At 42.7% G+C, this 24,057-nt stretch overlaps 1 protein-coding gene across 8 annotated transcripts, besides 5 other annotated features; it reads left to right on the forward strand.

Moving 5' to 3' along the window:
- Window positions 1-4,356: 4,356 nt before the first annotated feature.
- ZNF621 (zinc finger protein 621) lies at window positions 4,357-21,033 on the forward strand. Of its 8 annotated transcripts, NM_001287245.2 has the most exons (6): window positions 6,211-6,525; window positions 7,030-7,115; window positions 10,570-10,696; window positions 11,460-11,567; window positions 13,281-13,457; window positions 19,537-21,033. In NM_001287245.2, exons 2-6 carry the CDS (start codon window positions 7,092-7,094, stop codon window positions 19,572-19,574), a joined length of 474 nt encoding a protein of 157 aa, NP_001274174.1. In that variant the 5' UTR covers window positions 6,211-6,525; window positions 7,030-7,091; the 3' UTR covers window positions 19,575-21,033. The 8 variants fall into 8 exon arrangements, with proteins under 8 accessions (XP_011531912.1, NP_001274174.1, NP_940886.1 ...); XM_011533610.4 differs by lacking the exons at window positions 6,211-6,525; window positions 10,570-10,696 and adding exons at window positions 4,357-5,881; window positions 10,746-10,826 and having other exon boundaries at window positions 13,281-21,033; NM_198484.5 differs by having other exon boundaries at window positions 13,281-21,033.
- Window positions 5,813-5,902: an enhancer, noted in NCBI's record as "active region_19719". NCBI's record gives its function as "activates an Ori minimal core promoter by ATAC-STARR-seq in GM12878 lymphoblastoid cells {active_cell/tissue: GM12878}" and the evidence as "EXISTENCE:reporter gene assay evidence [ECO:0000049][PMID:35858748]".
- Window positions 6,093-6,252: a silencer, noted in NCBI's record as "silent region_14233". NCBI's record gives its function as "represses an Ori minimal core promoter by ATAC-STARR-seq in GM12878 lymphoblastoid cells {active_cell/tissue: GM12878}" and the evidence as "EXISTENCE:reporter gene assay evidence [ECO:0000049][PMID:35858748]".
- Window positions 6,093-6,993: a biological region, named in NCBI's record as "H3K27ac hESC enhancer GRCh37_chr3:40566421-40567233".
- Window positions 6,181-6,993: an enhancer, noted in NCBI's record as "H3K27ac hESC enhancer chr3:40566421-40567233 (GRCh37/hg19 assembly coordinates)". NCBI's record gives its function as "activates a minimal SCP1, AML or CMV promoter by ChIP-STARR-seq in primed H9 embryonic stem cells {active_cell/tissue: H9 hESC(primed)}" and the evidence as "EXISTENCE:reporter gene assay evidence [ECO:0000049][PMID:30033119]".
- Window positions 6,553-6,692: an enhancer, noted in NCBI's record as "active region_19720". NCBI's record gives its function as "activates an Ori minimal core promoter by ATAC-STARR-seq in GM12878 lymphoblastoid cells {active_cell/tissue: GM12878}" and the evidence as "EXISTENCE:reporter gene assay evidence [ECO:0000049][PMID:35858748]".
- Window positions 21,034-24,057: the final 3,024 nt, after the last annotated feature.

The raw sequence follows: 24,057 nt of genomic DNA on the forward strand, positions 1-24,057 counted from the left end.
TTATTATAATCCTATTGGTAAGTTTTGACTTATCAATATACTAGTGAAACAATTATCACAGTTCAAGATAATAATCAGCCACCACCCCAAAACTTTGCTTGTACCCCTCCATAATCCCTTCCTCTTGGCCCTTCACAGGCAACCACTGGTTTGCTTTCTGTCACTTGGATTAATTTTCCTTTATTTTTTGGTCTGGTGTCTTTCACTCAGCATAATTACTTTGAGATTCACCCATGTTGTTGCATATATATCAATAGTTCATTCCTTTTTATTGCTGAGTAGTATTCCACTGTATGGATATGCCATAATTTGTTTATTCATTGACCTGTTGATGGCCATTTGGGTTGTTTTCAGTTTTTGGCTATTACAAATAAAGCTGCTATGGACATTTGTGTCCACATCTTTGTAAGAATATATGCTTTCATTTATCTTGATACAGGAGTGGAATGGCTAGGTCATTAGGTAGATTGGTATAGATTAAACGTTTTAAATTTTTATTATGTTTTTATTTTTTAGAGGTTGGTGGGGGGCAGTTCTTGCTTTGTTGTTCAGGCTGGACTCAAACTCCTGGGCTCAGGGTATCCTCCTGCCTCAGTCCCCCTGTCCTACTCTTAGTAGCTGGGACTACAGGTGTGCACCACCATACCCTATTTAACATTTTGAGAATCTTCAAAACTGTTTTACGAAAGAGGTTGTGCCATTGTACATTTCCACTTGCATTGTATGACAGTTGTACTTCCAATACATCTATGCCTACACTTGATGTCAGTTTTTAAAATTTTAGCTATTCTAATTGTTTAATGCTATCCCATTGTGGTTTTAATTTGCATTTCTCTAATGACTATTGTGCTTATTTGTGTTCCATATAACTTATTTGATGAAGTGTCTGCTCATATTTTTTGCCCATGTTTTTATTGTGTTGTTTTTGTTTTATTAATCTTTGAGAGGTCATTATTTATTGTGGATACAAGTCTTTTTCAGATATGTGATTTTTAAATATTTTCTTCTAGCCTGTGGTTTGCCTTTTCATTCTCACAATGGTGTCTTTTTTTTTTTTTTTTTTTTTTGAGATGGGGTCTCACTCTGTTACCCAGGCTGGAGTGCAGTACCACCATCTTGGCTTACTGCAACCTTTGCCTCCCAGGTTCAAGTGATCCTCCCACCTCATCCTCCCGAGTAGCTGGGATTACAGGTGCACATCATGACAGTGTCTTTTAAAGAGCAGAAGACATTAATATGCATGAAATCCAATTTATCAGTTTTTTATTTTTAAATAGAGATGAGGTCTCACTATGTTGCACAGGCTGGTCTTGAACTCCTGGGCTCAAGCGAGCCTCTTGCCTTGACCTCCCAAAGTGCTGGAATTATAGGCATGAGCCACTGTGTCTAGCCTTTTTTTTTAATGGATCATGGTTTCAGTGTCAAATCTAAGACATCTTTGCTGTACCCACATTTGCAAAGATTTTTTTCCTAAAGTTTTCCCTTTAGAAGTTTTATAGTTTTTGTGTTTTTTTTTTTTTTTTTTTTTTGACAGAGTCTCACTCTGTTGCCCAGGCTTGAGTGCAGTGGCAGGATCTCAATGATTGCAGCTTCGGAGGTTGCTCACTGCAACCTCCACCTCCTAAGTTCAAGCGATACTCCAGCCTCAGCCTCCTGAGTAGCTGGGATTACAGGCAGGTGCCACCATGCCCAGCTAATTTTTGTATTTTTAGTAGAGATGGGGTTTTGCCATGTTGGCCAGGCTGGTCTCGAAATCCTGACCTTAAGTGATCTGCCCACCTCGGCCTCCCAAAGTGCTGGGATTACAGGTGTGAGCCATCGCACCTGGCCAGAAGTTTTATAGTTTTAGGTTTTACATTTAATTCTATCATCTATTGAGTTAATTTTTGTCTGAGGCATGGATCCAAGTTTTTTTCTTTTTCTTCATATAAGTATCCTATTGTAGCACCATTTTTTTCTTTTTTAAGAGATGGGTCTCACTATGTTGCACAAGCTGAAGTGCAGTGCTATTCACAGGCATCATTACAGTGTACTGTACCCTTGAATTCCTGGTCTCAAGTGATCCTCCTGCCTCAGCCTCCTGAGTAGCTGGGACTACAAGTCTGTGCCACTATTGCCTGGCCTGTAACACCATTTTTTGAAAAAAGTTCCCCCACTGAATTGCCTTTGTACCATTGTTGTGAAGCAGAAGTCCATATATGTGTGGGTCTATTTCTAGATACTGTTCCATTGATCTGTTTGTCTGTCTTGATGCCATTAAGGCACTGCCTTTATTATTATAGTTATCTAATAAGTGTTGAAATCTAATAAGTGTTGAAGTCATATAGTGTTAGTTCTCTAACTTTGTTCTTTGTCGAGGTGTTTTGGCCATTAGAGGTCCTTTGCATTTCCATATGAATTTTAGAATCAGTTTTTCACTTTCTACAAAACACCTCCTGGGAGTTTGATTGGGATTGCATTGAATATAATGACCAATTTATGGAGAATTGACAAATATACAGAGTCTTTTGACCCATGGACATGGTAGAGCTCCCCATTTATTTAGATATTTATTAATTTCCTTCAGCAATGTTTTGTAATTTTTACTGTGCAGATCTTTCACACTTTTCCTCAGATGCATCTAAAAATTTCATCTTTTTCATGTATAAATACTTAATAACTTATGATACTTGTAATAATAAACAGTAAATTTCCAGTTTTTGCTGACATATAGAAATATAATTGGTTTTTATATATTAACCGCATATCCTTCAACCTTGCACAACTCACTTATTGGTTCTAGTAACGTTTTATAGATTCCATAGGATTTTCTAACATTGAGAATCGTGTTTGCAAATAACAGTTTTACTTCTTCCTTTCAAATTCTGGATGCTTTTTTATTTCTTGCCTTATTGTAGTGGCTAGTGGGTGGGGATAGTGTGTTTTTAGGGAAAGCTAATCTCTCTGGCATTGATCAGGTGAGAGACATTCAGCTCCAGAGAGTTTAATTTTGCTGTTAGGTGAACCGACTCACAATTGCAAAGTCTGAAGTTTCCCATATCTTTTGGTTCACTTTTGCCCTTTAGCTTCCTCTAGGCAGCACTGCCTATAGTTTGCTTCTGTTGAGGCTGTTCTGGAAAAGAATGGGCCTCTTGTAGCATGGTCCCAATTTTCTCCTCTGACTGCTCATGATTCCTGTCATGGTTCCAACCTGGGGATTTTAGGCACTTAGTCTTGCCTACCAAAACTTTCATCTCTTCTCTCTGCACCATAATACCAAATGGAGGAGTTACATGTCCAATCTTGTTCCCTCTAGTTAATTCAAATTAGAACTAATTGTAATAACTGTCTGATACTCTAGAGTTTGTGGTGTAAAAATGTGTACATGTATGTACACCAATATATGTGTGTCCATTTCTCTAGATTCATGGTAGATACTCTTTTTGATAGGCTTAGAGAAGGGGCAGTGTATAAATATATGTTCTAATGCTATTGTTCTTGGAAATCTAATTCATCTATTTAAAACAATTGTGCTTCATAAATGTTACAATAAAAGTACTATAGATTATAGAAAGGACTGTTTCTGTGGTAGGTAAAAAATGTGTTTAGCCAGCTCCCAAAATGGTCCCCAGTGATTCTCATTCTGGCATTCACACCCTTGTGTATCCAACACTGAATCATGACTGGCCTGTGATGATAGTATATTGAGGAAATGACAGAGTGTGACTTCCAAAGCTAGGACATAAATGATATTGCCACTTCTGCCTTGACCTCTTGGGTTACTCACCTGAGATGGAAGTGGAAGTCTGCTCCTGTGTTGTGAGGATACTCAGCCATGTACAGATACGCGGTGTGCGAAGGGAGGCTTCTTTTTCTTTTCTTTTCTTTTTTTTTTGAGACAGTCTTGCTCTATATCCTGGGCTGGAGTGCAGTGGCGGGATCTTGGCTCACTGCAACCTCCGCCTCCTGGGTTCAAGTGATTCTCCTACCTCAGCCTCCCAAGTAGCTGGGGTTACAGGTGCCCGCCACCACGCCCAGCTAATTTTTGTATTTTTAGTAGAGACAGGGTTTCGCCATGTTGGCCAGGGTGGCCTCAAACTCCTGACCTCAGGTGATCTGCCTGCCTTGGCCTCCCAAATTGCTGGGATTACAGGTCTGAGCCACTGCACCCGGCGCAGGAAGGGAAGTTTCACACTAATAGCTGGCATCTATGTGCCAACCATGTGAGTGAGTTACCTTTGAGGCAAATCCCCAGCCTCAGTCCAACTTTCAAGTGACTGCAGTCCCAGGTGACACCTGACTAGACCCTCATGAGAGATCCCAAGCCAGTACCATCCAGCCAAGCCACTCCCGAATTCCTCATCCACAGAACCTTTTTTTTTTTTCCTTTTTCTCTTTTTAGGACTGACTGACTATGTTCACTGATTCATAGAAACTTTAAGAGATAATAAGTGTGTTTTGTTTTCAGCCATAAGGTTTTAGGGTGATTTGTTATGCAGCAGTAGATACCTAAGATACTCTCCATAATAGGACTTCATAAGTCAGTCTAATTCTTAAGAAAGGAATAACAAATCCAAGAAGTGGGACCCCTGTAATAAAGCAATATATCTAGATATCCAGGATCATTTTTTATCTTTTAGTGGTGGGAGACCAATTCCCCTTTATAGCATGGAAATGCTTGGTGGTGAGGAGCCTGGTATCTGGAACTGTGTTCAGGAGAAGTTATCAGCGTGATTAAAGTAAAACAAAGTCTGGGCCGGGCGCGGTGGCTCACGCCTGTAATCCCCAGCACTTTGGGAGGCCGAGGTGCACGGATCACAAGGTCAGGAGATCGACACCATCCTGGCTAACACGGTGAAAACCCGTCTCTACTAAAAATACAAAAAATTAGCTGGGCGTGGTGGCGGGGTGCCTGTAGTCCCAGCTACTCGGGAGGCTGAGGAAGGAGAATGGCGTGAACCCAGAAGGCAGAGCTTGCAGTGAGCCGAGATTGCGCCATTGCACTCCAGCCTGGGCGACAGAGCGAGACTCCGTCTCAAAAAAACAAACAAACAAAAAACAAGCAAAAAAAAAAAAAACAAAGTCTGTCCATCTTAGCAACCACTTTGATACTGGAGAAAGGCTCCTGTCCAGAAGGAAGGGCACAGTAGTGAGGTACTTGCCAATGAGCTGGGTAGAGCTGCCACTGGCTGGCTTCGGGAAGTGTTTATCACTGACTGGCTCATGTTCAGAAGCTTGGAGTGAGGCTGTTGTGTACTGGTTGATTTTCAGAGTACGTGTACTGATCTAAAATTATGTAAATTAATGGCAAGTACTTGTTAGTGACTTGGGACTTTGGTCAAAAAACAGTCTTTTCCTTTCCTGAATATGAAAAGTAAGTTCTTTTAATTAGCAGCCTCCCCTCTTCACTGTTTTTTCTTCCTGCAGTCCAACTAACAGAACAGACCATAAAGGTCTGTCCAGATCATTATTTATGGAAGTATGAGATATATATATTTCAGCTGGTGTTAACATTTTATTTAAGTGCCAGTTACTGAGCAGAAAAATAGCTGTAACTACGAGTTTTTGTAATTTATTGGAAAAAGCTAAATATAAGACATTTAGGGTGTCCTCCCAAAGTCAACACAGGACAAGATCATTTAATATAGGACATGTCCTGTGTATACAGGATGCCTAGCAACTGTATGTAGCCACGGGTGTTTTGGTTGTTAAATGAATCTGTCCTAAAAGGTTCTACGCACATCTAGGTCCTTGGAAGGGAGAGGGCTAAAACGGCGAGTGGAAACCATGGTTTCCCTGAGGACTGCCCAGCTGAGGACCCAAGCAAGATCCTGGGCTTGGGCCTCTTAGAGATGACAAAGCAGGCGCCATTCTCCCCTCACCTGCACGGCCCAGGCTTCAGGTGAGCCACGGGGCCAAGGCGGCCAACAGCTGAGGCGCAGCCCGTGAACTGGGGGCCCACTTGTGCCTAGAGGGCGAGGTCTCGGTAGAGCCAGGCTGTATCAGTCCGTGACACTCCAGCCAGAGGCGATGCCGACGGCTGCCGGAGAAAGCCGGGCTTAGAGCGCCACAGTTCCACGCCCGCCGCCGGCCTCTCAGCCCAGCCGGTCGCCGCAACCTCGCCTCTTCCGCAGGGCGGGGCCAGCCATGAAAGGCGGGGCGGGTCTGGCCACGGGGCGACCGAGATGGCGGCCTCCGGGGGCCTAGAGGGACCCTGGGCGTGCACTCGCCCTTCCGGCTCGGCCTTTAGTTAGTGACCAGCTCCTCGGCGTTCTGCAGAGCGTGGGTTTCAGCGAGTTCTACGTGCCAGGTCCGCCCGGTGCCGGCTTCCTCGCTGCCCCTGGCGGCTCGTCAGCCCCCACTACCCCTGAACTTGGTCCCAATGGCGGCCCGCCCCTCCTTCACCCGGACCGTGGGCATCTGGGCCTCGCCGAAGCCGTCAAGGTGGCTGCTCGGGCTTCTAGAGCCCGTGTCCAGCCCTTTGCCACCGAGGCCTGATCCTCTTTTCTGCCCTAAAGAACTTGCCCTGACAGCCTCTGGCTCCCGGTACTGACGTTTCTGATGTTTGGGGTTGCCTGTTTTCTTGGGTGGAGTGTTAAGATCACGGTTGGGTGGGGTCTCCGGTCAGCATCACCCACTGGGACGCTGAGTATTTTACCCTTAATCCGCATTCAGCCACCCCAGTCCCTCTTCTCCTGAGGTTCTTTCTTTTGGGTCCACGTCATCGTCCCTGTAAGCATTCTGTAAAGACTCTTTACGTTTGTAGAGACCCAACACAATAGGGACAGGGCTCTTGGGTCCCTCAGTTTACCCGTACGAATGGGCTCAAAAAAAGCTCTTCGGACTGAGCAGGCAGGTGGAAGATTGTCCTGAAGACTAGGCAGAACAATTCATAAGAAGTTTGGGGCTATCAGCGTGAGAACAATTAGAGGGAGTCCTAGTAGAATCTCCGTGCATCCAGTGCTGGAAATGTGGAAACTGGGAGGGCCATAGGTTGCTGTAGGTGGTGGACGACAGGGTCCTTAGCACTCATGGCTCTTTTTCTCTTAGCTCTTGAGGATCTTGCTTGTCCAAACCCAGAAGACAGTGCATGAAGCCAGGGGACATCCGCCATGCTCCAAACAACTTGGCCTCAGGTGAGCTGAGCTTCTTTCAGTTTTTTTGTTTGTTTGTTTATGTTTTTTTACTCACATTAGCTATCAGATAATCAGGAAAGGATGAGGAAGGCCTAACTTGGCCAAGCTGTGTTTTCCCCTTTGTATCTATCTCCAGGGCTATGGCAGATGTAAATATGTGCTGGGGAAATGAAAGTTTTGTGTATAGAGAGTGATGAGTTTGGATGTATAGATTTAAATGGAAGAAAGGGGACCTATACCAAGAAATTCTTTCTGAATGTGGAAATCCAGATCGTGTTCTAGAAATGAAAGTCACCTACTGAAATCAGACTCATTTTTTGTGAGACGGAGTCTCACTCTGTCGCCCAAGCTGGAGTGTAGTGGCACTATGATATCGGCTCACTGCAGCCTCTGCCTCCTGGGTTCAAGTGATTCCCATACCTCAGCCTCCTAAGTAGCTGGGATTACAGATGTGCGCCGCCACGTGTGGCTAATTTTTGTATTTTTAGTAGAGACGGGGTTTACACCACGTTGGCCAGGCTGGTCTTGAACTCCTGAGCTCAGGTGATCCACCCGCTTCGGCTTCCCAAAGTGCTGGGATTATAGGCATGAGCCACCGCACTAGCTTGAAATCAGAAATTCTTTATTGGAGAGATTGCCCACAAATTGTATTGTATGTATCCCAGAGAGACTAGTATTGTTGCTTTAATATACATTTTCTAAATGCTAGATGCAAGGACTCTGAAGTTGCAGAGAAAGCTGGATGTACTCTAGAAACTGGAAGGGGTCAGAGAAAGTGGTTCAATATGAGATGGAAGAAATAGATACCTGTATTATAGGTCATGGTGAGGACAGTGGTTTCTGTACTGGTTCATTGGGAAGGCACTGAAGAATTTTAAGCAGGGGGATGACATGGTTGGATTTACATATTAAAAAGATTTTCCTAGCCCTTAGTGGCAAATTGATGGTAGAAAGGTGTTGGTCAATTAAGAAGATATTAAGTGTTGTCCTTTTATTTTTTTTGTTTTTGAGACGGAGTTTCGCCTTTGTTGTCCAGGCTTGAGTGCAATGGCGCTATCTCGGCTCACCGCAACCTCCACCTCCCAGGTTCAGGCAATTCTCCTGCCTTAGCCTCCCAAGTAGCTGGGATTACAGGCATGCACCTGTTTTTTGTTTGTTTGTTTGTTTTTTTGAGATGGAGTCTCACTGCAACACCCAGGCTAGAGTGCAATGGTGCGATCTTCGCTCACTGCAACCTCCACTTCCCTTGTTCAAGTGATTCTCCTGCCTCAGCCTCCCGAGTAGATGGAATTACAGGTGCCCGCCACCACGTCCGGCTAATTTTTGTATTTTTAGTAGAGACGGGGGTTCTCCATGTTGGTCAGCTGATCTCGAACTCCCGACCTCAGGTGATCCGCCTGCCTCAGCCTCCCAAAGTGTTGGGATTACAGGCGTGAGCCACTGTGCCTGGCAAGTGTTGTCCATTTTTAAATTTTTTTTTTTTTTGAGACAGAGTCTCACTCTGCCACCCAGGCTGGAGTGCAGTGGCATGATCTCAGCTCACTGCAACCTCCACCTCCCGGATTCAAGCAATTCTCCTACCTCAGCCTCCTGAGTAGCTGGGATTACAGGTGCACACCACCATGCTGGGCTTATTTTTGTATTTTTAGTAGAGATGGGGTTTCACCATGTTGGCCAGGCTGCATTTTACTTTTTAATGTAATTAATTTATTTGTAGTTTTTATTTTCTGGAGCAGTTTTAGGTTCACAGCAAAATTAAATGGAAGGTACAGAGATTTCCCATATATTCCCTGCCCCTACACATGTATATACAAGTTCTGATAGAAGTTCAAATACAAGTCTGGTATCAGCACAGTAAAATGTCAGTGTCTTTAAAAGAATGGAAATGCTTTTTTTCTTTCCTTATTCTCTGATATGTCCTAAACAGCATATGTGGTTTGATTGAGAAATAACTTACCCTGAAACGATTCAACACTGGTACTTAAAATAGTTTTTTAGAGCAGTTTTAGTTGATAACAAAATTGGGCAGAAAGCAAGAGTTCCCATTTATCTCCTGCCACCACAAAACACACAACCTTCTTCAATATTAATATTCCACACCAGAGTAACACGTTTGTGACAAGGAGTGAACCTACACTAACACATCATTGTCATCCAAAGTTGATAGTTTACATTAGGGTTCACTCTTGATGGATGACACATATCCACTATTATAGTATTATATAAGCAGAATAGTTTCACTGCCCTAAAAATACCTTATGCTCCTCTTATCCATCCTTACTTTCCCCTTAGTCCCGTCCCAATTGACAACCATCAATTGATTTTTGTATTCTCTTCATAGTTTTGCCAGTTCCAAAATGTCATATAGCCAGAATCACACAGTACGTAGCATTTTCAGATTGACTTCTTTCATTTAGTGGTAATGCATTTCGTTTCCTCTGTGTCTTTTCATGGCTTGATAGATCGTTTTGTTTTAGTGCTGAATAATATTCCATTGTCTATATATACTACAGCTTATCCATTCACCTACTGAAGGACATCTCGGTTGCTTCCAAGTTTTGGCGATGATGAATAAAAGCCCCTGTAAATGTCCATGTACAGGTTTTTATGTGGACATAAGTTTTCAACTCCTAAATTTAGTTAAGCACCAAGGAGCATGACTGCTGGGTTGTATGGTAAGAGTGTGTTTAGTTTGTAAGAAATTGACGAACTGTCTTCCAAAGTGGCTGTCCCATTTCGCATTCATTAGCACCAGCAGTGAATGAGAGTTCTGTTGTTTCACATCCTGGCCAGCATTTGGTGTTGTCAGTGTTTTGGATTTTGGCCTTTCTAATAGGTATGTAGTGGTGTCTCACTGTTTTTATTGCAATTCCCTAATGACATATAATCTTGAGCATAGTTTCATATGCCTATTTGCTATCTGTATATTTGCTTTGTTGAGGTGTCTGTTGAGGTCTTTTGCCTGTTTCTTAATTGGCTTGTTCATAAAGAGTTCTTTGTACATTTTGGATAATAGTGCTTTATCAGATATGTCTTCAGCAAATATTTTCTCCTAGACTTTAGCATGTCTTCTCATTTTCTTAATGTGTTATCCTTTTAAAATACAGTTTAATTCCCCCTCATTTTGTTTTCAGTTGTTTTCTCCAAAACATTGTTTGCTAGTTTTTCACACATGCCTGTAATCTCAGCCTGGGTGCCAAGCTGTAAGAATCAGCAGCAGTTACGGGCTCCAGAGCTGGGTAGATGGGAGAGTGTTGGGGCTCCCCATTTGAAAGTGGAACTACTGGCTGAGGGCTCGCCCCTGGCTGTGGTGGTGGGTGTTCTTGTTGAGCAGACCTTACATGGGGCTCAGAGTTGTGGATGCAGGCAGGTTTATCCCTTCCCTGAAGCTCAAGCTGCTCCCTTCTTCCTTCTACTTCTCACTCAGAGATTGAGCAGGAACCTGTTGTTTCAGGAGTCAGTGACCTTTGAGGATGTGGCTGTTTACTTCACCCAGAATCAATGGGCCAGCCTCGACCCTGCGCAGAGGGCCCTGTACGGGGAGGTGATGCTGGAGAATTATGCAAATGTGGCTTCTCTGGGTAAGGCCTCCCTCTGTGGCCCTTTGTAACAGTTTGCTATCTTCCTCAGATGTTTTGGGGATTCTAGTAGCCCTTGGGTTTGATGACTTCAGAGGAGAGTTTTGCAATCAGCAGCCTCCAGAAATACTGGGTAGGGAAATCCTTGGTTCTCTTTGTTTTTTGTTTGTTTGTTTGTTTTGTTTGTTTGTTTGTTTTGAGACAGAGTCTCGCTCTGTCACCTAGGCTGGAGGGCAGTGGCATAGCCATGGCTCACTGCAGCCTCCAACTCCTGGGCTCAAGCAATTCTCCTATTTCAGCCTCCCAAGTAGCTGGGACTATAGGCGTGTGCCACTGTGCCTGGCTTCTCTTTGGTTTTGAAATTAGACTTCCTTATACTCCAGGAACAGTGTGGTCCTGGGCCCTGAGGGAAAGCATTCTTTCTGGCACCCTAAGTGAGCCCTTTGTTCCTTTGTCCATCCAGTTTTCTGGGGATGTTGGCCCTCCCTTTGTGGAAGGTTCTCCCAGGGGAGCAGTAGGTACATTTTTCCTGAGGGAGTTTGCCTTCTTCTGAGTCAGGGCCAGAATGCAGTTTCTTTCTGAGAAGAATCATACCTCCTTGGCTTTATCGTGGAGCACAGTTTGGACCTCCTTGTCAGAACTCTCACTTGGTCTGCTGGTGTTCAATTTCTCTCCCAAGTAGCCTGATGGAGGGTGGGCTGAGAAAGATCCCAGGAATAGCTCTGGACGTCTCCCCTCAATTTGTCTTTCTCTTTTCTTCATGAAGTAGCGTTTCCATTCCCCAAACCTGCTCTGATCTCCCACCTGGAGAGAGGGGAAGCACCATGGGGCCCAGATCCCTGGGACACCGAGATTCTGAGAGGCATCAGTCAAGGTGAGTATGAGAATCCAGTGGTGAAGTTTCTTGTTTTGCCTTCCTGGTTTACTAGGTAAGAAGTGTTTCTTATGCTGCAGGGTACAAATCTCCCAGTTATTTATAAGTCGATACTCACTGTACTCTCTGACCTCACACTGAGTTCTGACCCTGAGCTTTGAAAGACCACCTCTGGGAGTACATGGCCTCATGCTGTCTGCACATTCATGTGGCTATCCTCCAAGGCAGAAAAGCTGTGACCCAGTAGCTCCTAAACCACTTCTTTCTTACTTACTGGTGGAAAAGTTTTAATTGTATGCCATTTTTCATTGCAAAGAAGTGGGGTTTCAGCCAAATTTAAGGAAAATATGATTTTTTGGGGCCAAACTGATTTATTTGTGCTATAGCTATAAATTTTACTTTAGGCCTTCAGCCCTGAAAAGAATGGCTTTAATTTGCCTTTTTAGTATCTAAATCACTTAAGAGTTTCATTTGCCATAATCTTTAGATCTACATTATATTTACCATAGATGGGACTGTAGAGGAAAGGGCTAGGAATATTCTCCCATCATAGCCCCCTACGCACACACATGCATACACACAAACACATGCACACACGCACATGTGCACACACACACCACCTAAAATTTCCCTGAGATGGCTTACCAGTCCTGGAAGGTTTTGTTTACTTGCGTTTCCATTTCTTCAGAAGAAAATTTTCAAGCCTTCTCACACATTTATGCTTTTGTATATAGTGGTTCCTTTAGCACAGGTACCACAGTGGCTTACAGCTCTCTGATCCAACTTCTGTTCCAGCTGACTTTCTGAAACTAATCATCTTGTATCCCTGAATATTGTGTGGGATATTTAAATATAGGATAATTAGGACATTGTTTAGAATTTGGGGTGATTGCCTGGGTTACAGGTAGGGCTTTGGGATCTAGTTTTTTCCTGGTTTGTGTTTCTCAGTCTGCAAGACCTCTTGTAGTGCTGGAGCTGCTTCTCTATTCTTCCCAGTCTCTCATTCCTTTCTCCTCTTCTGGGTTTCTGTCTCTCTTTAAACATTTTTCACATTTCTCACTGTTCTTTCTTATTCTCTCCTTCTTTTTTCTTTTTTGTCCCTCCTACCTTCTTTCCTTCTCATTCTTGATTCTCCTTCTTCCCATCACCTACCTTAGTTCAATTTTCCAGCCTTCCTCGTGGGGAGCACTTCCTGGCTATCTTTCCTGTTCCATTTCTGTGTCTTTACTTCTCCAATTCTATGTCATTATTTTTCTATTTTTTTAAGACAGGGTCTAGCTCCGCTGCCCAGGCTGAAGTGCAGTGGCATGATCTCCACTCACTGCAACCTCTGCCTCCCGGGCTTAAGTGATCCTCCCACCTCAGCCTCCCTAGTAGCTAGGACCACAGGGGTGCGCCACCATGCCCGGCTAATTTTTGTATTTTTTTGTGGAGATGGGGTTTCACCATGTTGCCCAGTCTGGTCTCGAACTCCTGAGCTCAAGCCATCCGCCTGCCTCAGCCTCCCAAAGTGCCAACATTACAGGCATGAGCCACCACACCTGGCCTGTCATTATTTTTCTTTGTCTCTCTCATCCTCCTTTATAGATGCTTGTATATAACCATTTCACAGGTATCTTTAAAAATTACATTCTACAAGAGAAAATTAGGAACACTGGATCCTACTTTTCTTCCAGTTTTGTAACTAGGAACACTTGTGGTTTCTTTGGTCAGGTGGTGAGTCCTGGATCAAAAATGAAGGGCTAGTTATAAAGCAGGAAGCCTCTGAAGAAACAGAGTTGCACAGAATGCCAGTAGGAGGACTTCTCAGGAACGTTTCTCAGCACTTTGATTTTAAAAGGAAGGCACTGAAGCAGACTTTCAATCTAAATCCAAATCTGATACTTCGAGGTGGAATGAAGTTCTATGAATGTAAAGAATGTGGGAAAATCTTCCGATATAACTCAAAGCTTATTCGGCATCAGATGAGTCATACTGGGGAAAAGCCCTTTAAGTGTAAGGAGTGTGGCAAAGCTTTCAAGTCCAGCTATGATTGTATTGTACATGAGAAAAACCACATTGGAGAAGGGCCCTATGAATGTAAGGAGTGTGGCAAAGGTTTGAGTTCCAACACAGCCTTGACTCAACATCAGAGGATCCACACTGGAGAGAAACCCTATGAATGTAAAGAGTGTGGAAAGGCTTTCCGTAGGAGTGCGGCATACCTGCAGCATCAGAGATTACACACGGGAGAGAAACTCTATAAATGTAAGGAATGTTGGAAAGCTTTCGGTTGTAGGTCACTTTTTATTGTCCATCAGAGAATTCATACTGGGGAGAAACCTTATCAATGTAAGGAGTGTGGCAAAGCCTTCACCCAGAAAATAGCCTCCATTCAGCATCAGAGAGTTCACACTGGGGAGAAGCCTTATGAATGTAAGGTGTGTGGGAAAGCCTTCAAATGGTATGGAAGTTTTGTTCAGCATCAGAAATTGCACCCTGTGGAGAAGAAGCCAGTCAAGGTCCTTGGGCCATCCCTGGTCAGTCCCCAGTGCTCCTCTCCAGCCATACCTCCTGTTCTTCTCCAGGGATCCTGTTCTGCTTCAGCCGTAGCTGTGCCTTCACTGACCTTTCCACATGCTGTGCTCATTCCTACCTCTGGGAATTTTTTCATGCTGCTGCCTACATCTGGAATACCTTCTTCATCTGCCCAAATAGTGCGTGTCTTCCAGGGTCTTACTCCCACTGTGAAACCTTCCCCAGTTATTCTCACCCCTTCTTCTCACTCCTCATGAGCTTTATCTTGGCAGTCTTACGGCTCTTATGCCTAGCAAATCTCCAGCCTAATTTTATATATTTTTTTGAGAAAGGGTCTTGCTCTGTCACCCAGGCTAGAGTGCGGTGGTGTGATCTTGGCTCACTGCAACCTCCCCCTCCTGGGTTCAAGCGATTCTCCTCCTTCAGACTCTCGAATAGCTGGGATTACAGGCACGCCTCACCACGCCCAGCTAATTTCTGTATTTTTAGAAGAGATGGGGTTTCGCCATCTTGGCCAGGCTGGTCTCAAACACCTGACCTCAAGTGATCCGCCTGCCTTGGCCCCCCAAAGTGCTGGGATTACAGGAGTGAGCCACTGTGCCCAGCCTCCAACCTAATTTGAGTTTCATTTGTATTTTTTTCATCACCTTACATGTGTTAACAGCTGTTTCAACATAAACTCCATTATAATCTATATACATTTAAAGACCGTGTTTACATAATCTCTTCTGGGTAGAAAATGGAAATACTTAACCTTTGCATTGGTCCCTTTCAGGCTTGAACAACAGTGGCTGTATCTGCATCGTGGGGTTGCTGGTGGTAGAACACTTTGGTGTTAGGAAAGTTTGGAAAAGAGGATATCCCTGTATTAGGCCATTATGATTAGAGATAAGCAGCCTGGGAGAAACATACAAGACCTGTGGCTACTGGTAGAGAATTGGAATAAGCTTCCAACAATGGACTGTAGAGATTAATGGAGATTGTTTAGTGGGCCCATGGCTAGGTGGGGTATTAATACAGTTGAAGTTATGTTGCCCTTGGCACAGATCTTTGAGAATCTCATACATCTGTGAAAAAGATAATGTGAAATAAACAGTAAAAAAAAAAAGTATGTTGATGGCAGTGAGAGTAATCATGTCTTTAAACGTGAAGTTTTTTTTTCTTTAGTTTTGCTCTTGATAGCTAGATGTTTCTTTTAACTTTTATTTCGTAAGTAAATATACACAAAGGCATTCATCTTTGTTGAATCTGTTGTGCAGATTTTTCTTGATGAGCATTCTGTTTTTTTTTCTTTGTGAGCACTGGCTTCTATATTTTATTTCATATTTATGAATTATAAATATGAATTTAATTACTAAAGAAATAAAAATAATGGTGTAAAGCCAACTCGAGGGGAATCTGAATAAGCTTCCAAAATTTTTTTTTTTAAGAAATAAAGGGAGCTGTGTAGTGGGTCAGTGGCTAGGTAGGTTAGTGAAGTGGAATTTGGGGTTGCTCTTGGAAGTGGCCTTGATGAGGATCCTTTACAACTATTCAGAGGACTGTGTGAAGTAGTTACTGGAAAAAGAACTTGAATTATGCATTTATTGGCATTAATGTAAACAGTAAGTCCTAAGCTTTGATGGAAGGGTCCATACATTTTTTTTTTTTTTTTGCTGATGTTGCTATCTAGATGTTTCTCTATAGCAATTAATAGCAAAACCTTTACATTCTTGGTTTTTAAACTTTACCATGTGTCTGAATTACATAGTGTGCTTGTAAAAAGAAGAGTTTTCTCTCTTGCACAAATTCTGATTTTGGCTATCTGTGGTGATGGCCAGATCTTTAGCATGGACCATACTTTGAGAGATATGCTTCAAACAGAAAATGCCCACCCCTCCTCCTTTACCCAGCATAAACTCTATGGTTAATTCTTAAAATAATGCCTTACAGTCTCCATTAACTCCCTTGCCCTTCTCTTGCTTTGTCATGCTCGCTTGGCAAAACCTCATCTCTGACTAAATGCAGTTCTTTGCCTTCTCTGTTCCTGCACCAAAAATGATCAGGAGAAAGCATATTACCAGGCTGAACTGTCACTTTAAATTCATGACCAGTAACTTCATGGAGGCCCTTAACGTTTCCTGATGGTCATACTACAATTTTTGGAGTCCACTTAACTCCCCTGCTTTCCTAGGCCACTACTTTATACTTTCTCTCTTCTGTAACTTCCAAAGCATCCCTCTCAGTTCTCATGCTCAGCTGATGGTTATGTTTCTGCCTTCGGCGAGAGAACAGCAAGCTCCAGAAAGTGGCTGCGCCTTCAGCCCCGTGCTAGAATGAGAACATATGGAGCCAACTTGAGTTCGGAAGGGCTGTGGCCACCTCGTTTCGCCCATCTACTTTTCACCTTGCCGTATCTGATTCTTCACCACCGTATTCTCAGTCACTTCCACTAAACAGTGCCAGTGTTTTAAGGTTCTGTCACACTCAGTAACCCACTTCTGGTTCCTCATTCCGTGTCAGTGATCAGCAGTAGACTGAAGAATCTACCTTAGATTTGCTCCATACTATTAATTAGCTTACAAAATGTCTAAGAGGAGCTAAGCTGGGATGCCACATAGGCAGAAGCCAGGAAAAATGACCAACCACAGAACCAAGTGGTTCCAGTGGAAACTCAGCAGCTGCTGGTGCCTGCTACTGGACTGCCACCCCCCATTGAAGAGACTGGACCACCAGGAAGGTCGTTTCACATTCTGTAGTAAAAATACCCCTACAATCATTTTGGTAGGGTCTTCTGTCTTCAGCCAGGGTGTACCTGCTCGGTGGGAGTTGGTTATATATGTATGTCCAAGTTGCAGGGGCTTCTGGGAAATACAGGTTTTGGATTCTGCCTGGGAAGAGAGTCATAGTATGAAGAAGTCTGAAAATGGGGAAGGGATTTTCAGAATATGTTGAGCAGCTGTAAAATATCAGATACCCATTATAGGCATTGAAGGTTACCTAAATGACAGAAGGATGCACTATATTCATGGGTAGGAAAGATTAGTTTCATCAAGATTTCAATTTTTATCAATTCATAAATTAAAAACAATATAAAAATTCCAGAGGGGTGTGTGTATAGAGAGGCAAAGGACACAGAGTAGCTAACCTAGTTTTGAAGAACAAGATGGGGGGTTTTATGCTACCAGATATTATATACAATGATCATCAAACACAGAACAAAGCAAAAAACAAACTCCCCAAACCCAAGTTGAAACAAAAAAAACCCCCAGACTGTAATAGTATTATTATTATTTTTTAAGATGGAATCTTGCTCTGTTGCTCAGGCTGGAGTGCAGTGGTGCAATCTTGGCTCACTGCAACCTACACCTCCCGGGTTCAAGTGATTCTCTTGCCTCAGCCTCCTGAGTAGTGTGTGCCACCACGCCCAGCTAATTTTTTAATTTTTAGTAGAGACAGGGTTTCACCATGTTGGCCAGGCTGGTCTTGAACTCCTGGCAGCCTCAAGTGATCCACCCACCTCGGTCTCCCAAAGTGTTGGGATTACAGGCGTGAGCCACTGCACCTGGCCTGTAACATGATTTGCTGAAATTTTTAAAAATCTTAAATAATGTACTGTTTAGAAATATACATATTTTATACAAAATTATAAAGAAAGCATAGAGAGGTAAGCATTAGTGGCACAGCTGAGAAAATATAAAAGGTAGTTCTGTCTCTATCCTGTCTCCTTTATTCTGCTACTGCTCTCATTCTGTCTCATCCCAGGAATCCAGTCCCAAGTGCTGCCTGCCAATCGTCCAGCACCCTCCACCTTTGCCACCTATTTCTTGTTGTAAAACAGATGTTTGTTTCTAAAATATAATGAATTAATGATTATCAAAGTACAGGCATACCTCATTTTATTGCAGTTTGTTTTATTGTGTCTTGCGGATATTGCATTTTTTACAAACTGAAGGTTTGTGGCAGGCCTGTGTTGAGCAAGACTATCAGTGCCATTTTTTTTCAACAGCATGTGCTCATTTCATTTTTCTGTGTCTTACACAGAAACTTAAAATATTTCAAACTTTTCATTATATGTGTTTTGGTGATTAGTGACTTTTATGTTTCTATTGTAATTGTTTTGGGGTGCCACAGACTGCATCCATCTAAGACAGTGAGCTTAGTTGATGTGTGTGTGTGTGTTCTGATTACTCCACTAACTGATGGTTCCCCATCTCTCTCCCTCTCCTCAGACCTCACTATTCTCTCAGACACAACAGTATTGAAATTAGACCAATTGATAACCTTACAAACACCTTTAAGTGTTTAAGTGAAAAAGTCACATGCCTCTCACTTTAAATCAAAAGCTAGAAATGATTAAGCTTAGTGAGGAAGGCTAATGTCAACAGCTGAGATAGGCCAAAAGCTAGACTGCTTCTGCCAAACAGTCAAGTTGTGAATGCAAAAGAAAAGTTCTTGAAGGAAATGAAAAGTACTTCTCCAGGGAACACATGAACGATAATAAAGTGGCCAGGTGCAGTGGCTGACACCTAGAATCCCAGCACTTCGGGGAGCCAAAGCGGGAGGATCCCCTGAAGCCAGGAGTCCGAGACCAGCTTGGGCCACAAAGTGAGACCCCTGTCTCTACAAAAAATTAAAAATTTAGCTGGGTGTGGTTGTGCATGCCTGTAGTCCGATCTACTTGGGAGGCTGAAGTGAGAGGATCCCTTTAGCCAGGGAGTTCGAGACTGCAGTGAGCTATGATTGTGCCACTGCACTCTAGCCTGTGTGACAGAATGAAACCAAAAAAAGTGAAACAGCATTATTACTGATATGGAGAAAGTTTTAGGGGTCTGGATCAAACCAACCACAAATTCCCTTAAGCCAAAACCTAATCCAGAGCAAGGCCATAACTGCCATTGTATGAAGGCTGAGAGAAGTGAGGAAGCTGCAGGAAAGTTTGAAGCTAGCAGAGGTTGGTTCATGAGGTTTAAGAAGTCATCTTATCATAAAAGTGCAAGGTGAAGCAGCAAGTGCTGGTGTAGAAGCTGTAGCAATTTATCCAGATCTAGCTAAGTTAATTGATGAAGTTGCTACACCACGAGATTTTCAGTGTATTCCAAACAGCCTTCTTTTGGAAGAAGAAACCATCTAGGACTTTCATGGAGAAGAGAAGTTAATCCCTGGCTTAAAAGCATCAAAGGACAGCTCGTCTCTCTTGTTAGGGGTTCATGCAGCTGGTAACTTTAAGTTGAAGCCAATGCTCATTTACCATTCAGAAAATCCTAGGGCCCATAAGAATTATGCTAAATCCACTCTGCCTGTGCTCTAGAAATGGAAGATCAAAGCCTGGATGACAGCACATCTGTTTACAGCATGGATTACTGAATATTTTAAGCCCACTGTTGAGACCTACTAAATATTAGGAAAAAAGAATTCTGTCAGGTGTGGTGGCTCACACTTGTAATCCCAACACTTTGGGAGGCCAAGGCAGGTGGATCAGTTGAGGTCAGGAGTTTGAGACCAGCCTGACCAACATGGAGAAACCCTATCTCTACTAAAAATACAAAAATTAGCTGGATGTGGTGGTGTGTGCCTGTAATCCCAGCTACTTGGGAGGCTGAGGCAGGAGAATTGCTTGAATCCAGAGGCAGAGGTTGCAGTGAGCTGAGGTTGCACCACTGTGCTTCAGCCTGGGTAACAGAGTGAGACTGTCTCAAAAAAAAAAAAAATTTAGTTCCAAATATTACTGCTCGTTGATAATGTGTCTGGTCACCCAAGAGTTCTGATGGAGATGTACAAAGAGATTAATGTTTTTATGTCTGCTAAACAACATCCATTCTGCAGGATCCATTACTCCATGGGTCAAGGAGTAATTTTGACTTTCAAGTATTATTTAAGGAATACATTTTGTAAGGCTGTGGCTGCCATAGTGGTTGTTCTGTACAAAGTAACTTGAAAACCTTCTGGAAAGGATTCATCATTCTAGATGCCATTAAGGACATTTGTGATTCATGGGAGAAGGTCAAAATATCAACATTAACAGGAGTTCAGAAGACATTGACCTCAACCCTGATGGATGATCTTGAGGGGTTCAAGACTTCAGTGGACGAAGTAACTGCAGATGTGGTGGAAATAGCAAGATAACTAGACTTAGAAGTGGAACCTGCATATGTGACTGAATTGCTGCAATCTCATGATAAAACGTGAACAAATGAGGAGTTGCTTCTAATATAAGAGCCACAAAAGTGGTTTCTTGAGATGGAAACTACTCCTGGTGAAGATCCTGTGACCATTGTTGAAATGACAACAAAGGACTTAGAATATTACATAAACTTAGTTGATAAAACAGCAGCAGAGTTTGAGAGGATTGACTTCAATTTTGAAGAATGTTCCACTGTGGGTAAAAGGCTATCCAACAGCAACACATGCTACAGATAAATCTTTCGGAAAGGAAGAGTCAGTTGATGTTGCAGCCTTCCTTGTTGTCTCATTTAAAGAAATCTCTAGAGCCACACTAACCTTCAGCAACCACCACACCGATCATTCAGCAGCCATCAACAGTGAGGCAAGACTGTCTTCCAGCAACAAAGACTCACTGAAGACTTAGATTATCGTTAACATCTTTTAGCAATAAAATATTTTTAAATTAAAGTATGTACATTGTCAGATATAATGCTATTGCAAACTTAATAGACTATAATATAGATTAAACATAACTTTTATAGGTACTGGAAAATAAAAATAATTGTGTGACTCCCTTTATTGTGTTAAACATTTTATTACAGTTGTCTGGAAGCAAACCTGCAATATCTCCAAGATATGCCTGTATTTTTCAAAATGTGGTCTTTTAACATTGCTATGAAGTTTATCAGTAATAATATCTTATTTCATGGTTGTCCAGAAGTTACATAACTTGTCTTAATCTAAAAATCATATCATTTAAAAAGCCTGATGATTTAATATTTTTCATAAAGAAAACTTTTGACAATTTGTTTTTAAGAGACAAAGTTTTCTATGTTGCCCAAACGATTTGAACTCTGGGGTCAAGCGATCCTTCTCCCTCAGCCTCCCAAGTAACTGGGACTACAGGGCATTTGACAGTTGTATTACATGAAACCCAATTGTAAGGCTAGCTCATATCTTTCTCTTAAATGAATCAGCAACAAGTGTTACGATTTCATTTCCACTGGTCTACTTATTTGTTTCAATGGATTTGTGGTGTTATAGGAAATTTCAGTTGGCCCAAAAGTTTCAATCTACTCCATTTTGCTGCTTCCACAAGGGCACCTTGGATTTTAATAATGATAAAAAGATATACTTTCCTGGTACTATTCCCCATTTGACATTTAAGCACAGGGCATTGAAAGGTTAGACTTTTACATTTCAGGTTTGTATAGAAAGAAATGAGGCTCCGGAGAGAGTAAATGACCTTGCTAATGGTTGCAGTGGTTGGGGACAAAGTTGAAGTATATTAATGTGCACACTCAGCCCTGATGCTAACTTTCTAACAATAACAGTCTCAAGTTATAACAGCAGTTTTCAGTGTATCAAGTGATTACTTACATGAAATAGGGTTTTTTTTGTTTTTATTTCTGTTTTTGCAGGTAGTCTTAGCAGTTCAATTGTAATTTGTTCTTCAGTAACTATCAAACTGGTTAATTATGGAAGGAGTGATGTCCATTAGATTGTAGAGGTGTAAATAATGAGTGTCAAATATATAGGCAGCAGAAATCTGAAGACAAATTGTGCCTGTTACTGAGAAGGGAGGTTCTCTTCACAGCTGCTGTGAGCTGGGGACAGAGCAGTTTTCTTGTACTTTTCAGATCTCTCATTTTCCATAAACAAAGTGCTTAATTGTTTTATAAACAATCTAGAAGGGATGTCTATATCACTTGTACAGATTGTCCATTTTTAATCTCTTGATTATATAAGCAGCTTTTTTTTTCTGAGATGGAGTTTTTGCCCTTGTTGCCCAGGCTGGAGTGCAATGGCATGATCTCGGCTCACCGCAACCTCTGCTTCCTGGGTTCAAGCGAGTCTCCTGCCTTAGCCTCCTGAGTAGCTGGGATTACAGGCATGTGCCACCATGTCTGGCTAATTTTGTTTTTTTAGTAGAGACGGGGTTTCTCCATATTGGTCAGGCTAGTCTGGAACTCCCAACCTCGTGTGATCCACCCGCCTGGGCCTCCCAAAGTGCTGGGATTACAGGCGTGAGCCACCGCGCCAGGCTATATAAGCACCTTTTAAATTTAAAGAATTGCCCGGGCGGCTCGACGCCTGTAATCCCAGCACTTTGGGAGGCTGAGGCGGGCAGATCACGAGGTCAGGAGATCAAGACCATCCTGGCTAACACGGTGAAACCCCTTCTTTACTAAAAATCCAAAAAAAACTAGCCGGTCATGGTGGCGGGCGCCTGTAGTCCCAGCTACTCAGGAGGCTGAGCCAGGAGAATGGCGTGAACCCGGGAGGTGGACCTTGCAGTGAGTAGAGATTGCAGCACAGCACTCCAGCCTGGGCGACAGAGCGAGACTCCGTCTCAAGAAAAAAAAAAAAAAAATTAAAGAATTGTTTTCTACTCAAGCAGGGAACTGCTTAGGGCAAACCTGCCTTCTATTCAAAGTCACTCCTCTGCTCACTGAGATAGATGCATATCTGATCTGCCGCGTTTGGAAAGAGTAATCAGAAACTCTAAAGAATGTAACCCTTTGTGTATCACCTAGCTGACCTGGAAGCTCTCTCGGTGCTTCAAGTCTTCCTGCCTTTTCTTCAAGTTGTTCCGCCTCTCCAGACCGACCCAATGTACTTCTTACATATATTGACTGATGTCTCATGTCTCTCCCTAAATATATAAAACCAAGCTGTGCCCTGACCACCTTCGGCACATATCAGGATTTCCTGAGGCTATGTCACGGGCACATCATCAATCTTTGCAAAATAAACTTTCTAAATTAACCGAAATAAATAAATAAATGTTTTCTAACTATAAAAGAAATATGTGCTTAGAGCAAAAAACTTACCTAGAAAAGTACCTAGGCCTGAATTCCACCACTTTTAATATTTGGTGAACACACATATGTACACATACACAAATTATAAATTGCATATTCTATTGTACGTTTCTGTTTCTCAGCAGAATATCATGCACATGTCCCAATTAACAAGCTATGTTTAATGGATGCATCATATTACATTCCATGGACTTATACTCTTTACGTAAGCAGTCTCATTATTGAACATTTAGGATATTTCCATTTTGAATCTCATTTATTTATTTAGAGACAGGATCTCGCTTTGTCACCCAGGCTGGAGTGCAGTGGTGCAATCACAGGTCGCTGCAATCACTGCCTTCTGGGCTCAGGTGATACTCCTGCCTCAGCCTCCTGAGTAGCTGGGATTACAGGCATGTGCCACCACAACTGGCTAATTTTTTCATTTTTTGTAGAGACAGGTTGTCACTATGTTACCCAGGCTGGTCTCAAACTCCTGGGCTCAAGTGCTCTTCCTTCCTTGGCCTCCCAAAGGGCTGGGATTACAAGCATGAGACACCGTACCCAGCCTTTGAATCTCTTTTAAATACTTTGAGAAACAACTTGTACATACATGATGATACAGTCATGATTTTTAAAAGTTTATTTCCAAGGATTTTTTTTTTTTAATAAAAGAAATAGGGCCAGGTCTGGCGGCTCATGCCTGTAAATGCAGCACTTTGAGAGGCTGAGGCAGGTAGATCACTTGAGCCCAGGAGTTGGAGACCAGCCTGGGTAACATGGTGACAACCTGTCTCTACAAAAAATGAAAAAATTAGCCAGTTGTGGTGACACATGCCTGTAATCCCACGCTACTCAGGAGGCTGAGGCAGGAGTATCACCTGAGCCCAGAAGGCAGTGATTGCAGCAACCTGTGATTGCACCACTGCACTCCAGCCTGGGTGACAGAGTGAGACCCTGTCTCAAAAAAAGAGAGAAATAGAGAAGAAAGAAAAAGAAGGACGGAGGGAGGGAGGAAGGAAGGA

This window comes from Homo sapiens, chromosome 3, assembly GCF_000001405.40.
Source record: "Homo sapiens chromosome 3, GRCh38.p14 Primary Assembly".
Classification (NCBI taxonomy): Eukaryota; Metazoa; Chordata; class Mammalia; order Primates; family Hominidae; genus Homo; species Homo sapiens.

Excerpts from the sequence above, each read along its gene's own strand:
- ZNF621 (NM_198484.5), top strand. The coding sequence starts at position 7,092 with ATGCTCCAAACAACTTGGCCTCAG. Across the intron at positions 10,697-11,459 it reads TGCAAATGTGGCTTCTCTGG|TAGCGTTTCCATTCCCCAAA; the intron begins GTAAGGCCTCCC and ends TTCTTCATGAAG. Across the intron at positions 11,568-13,280 it reads TCTGAGAGGCATCAGTCAAG|GTGGTGAGTCCTGGATCAAA; the intron begins GTGAGTATGAGA and ends TTCTTTGGTCAG.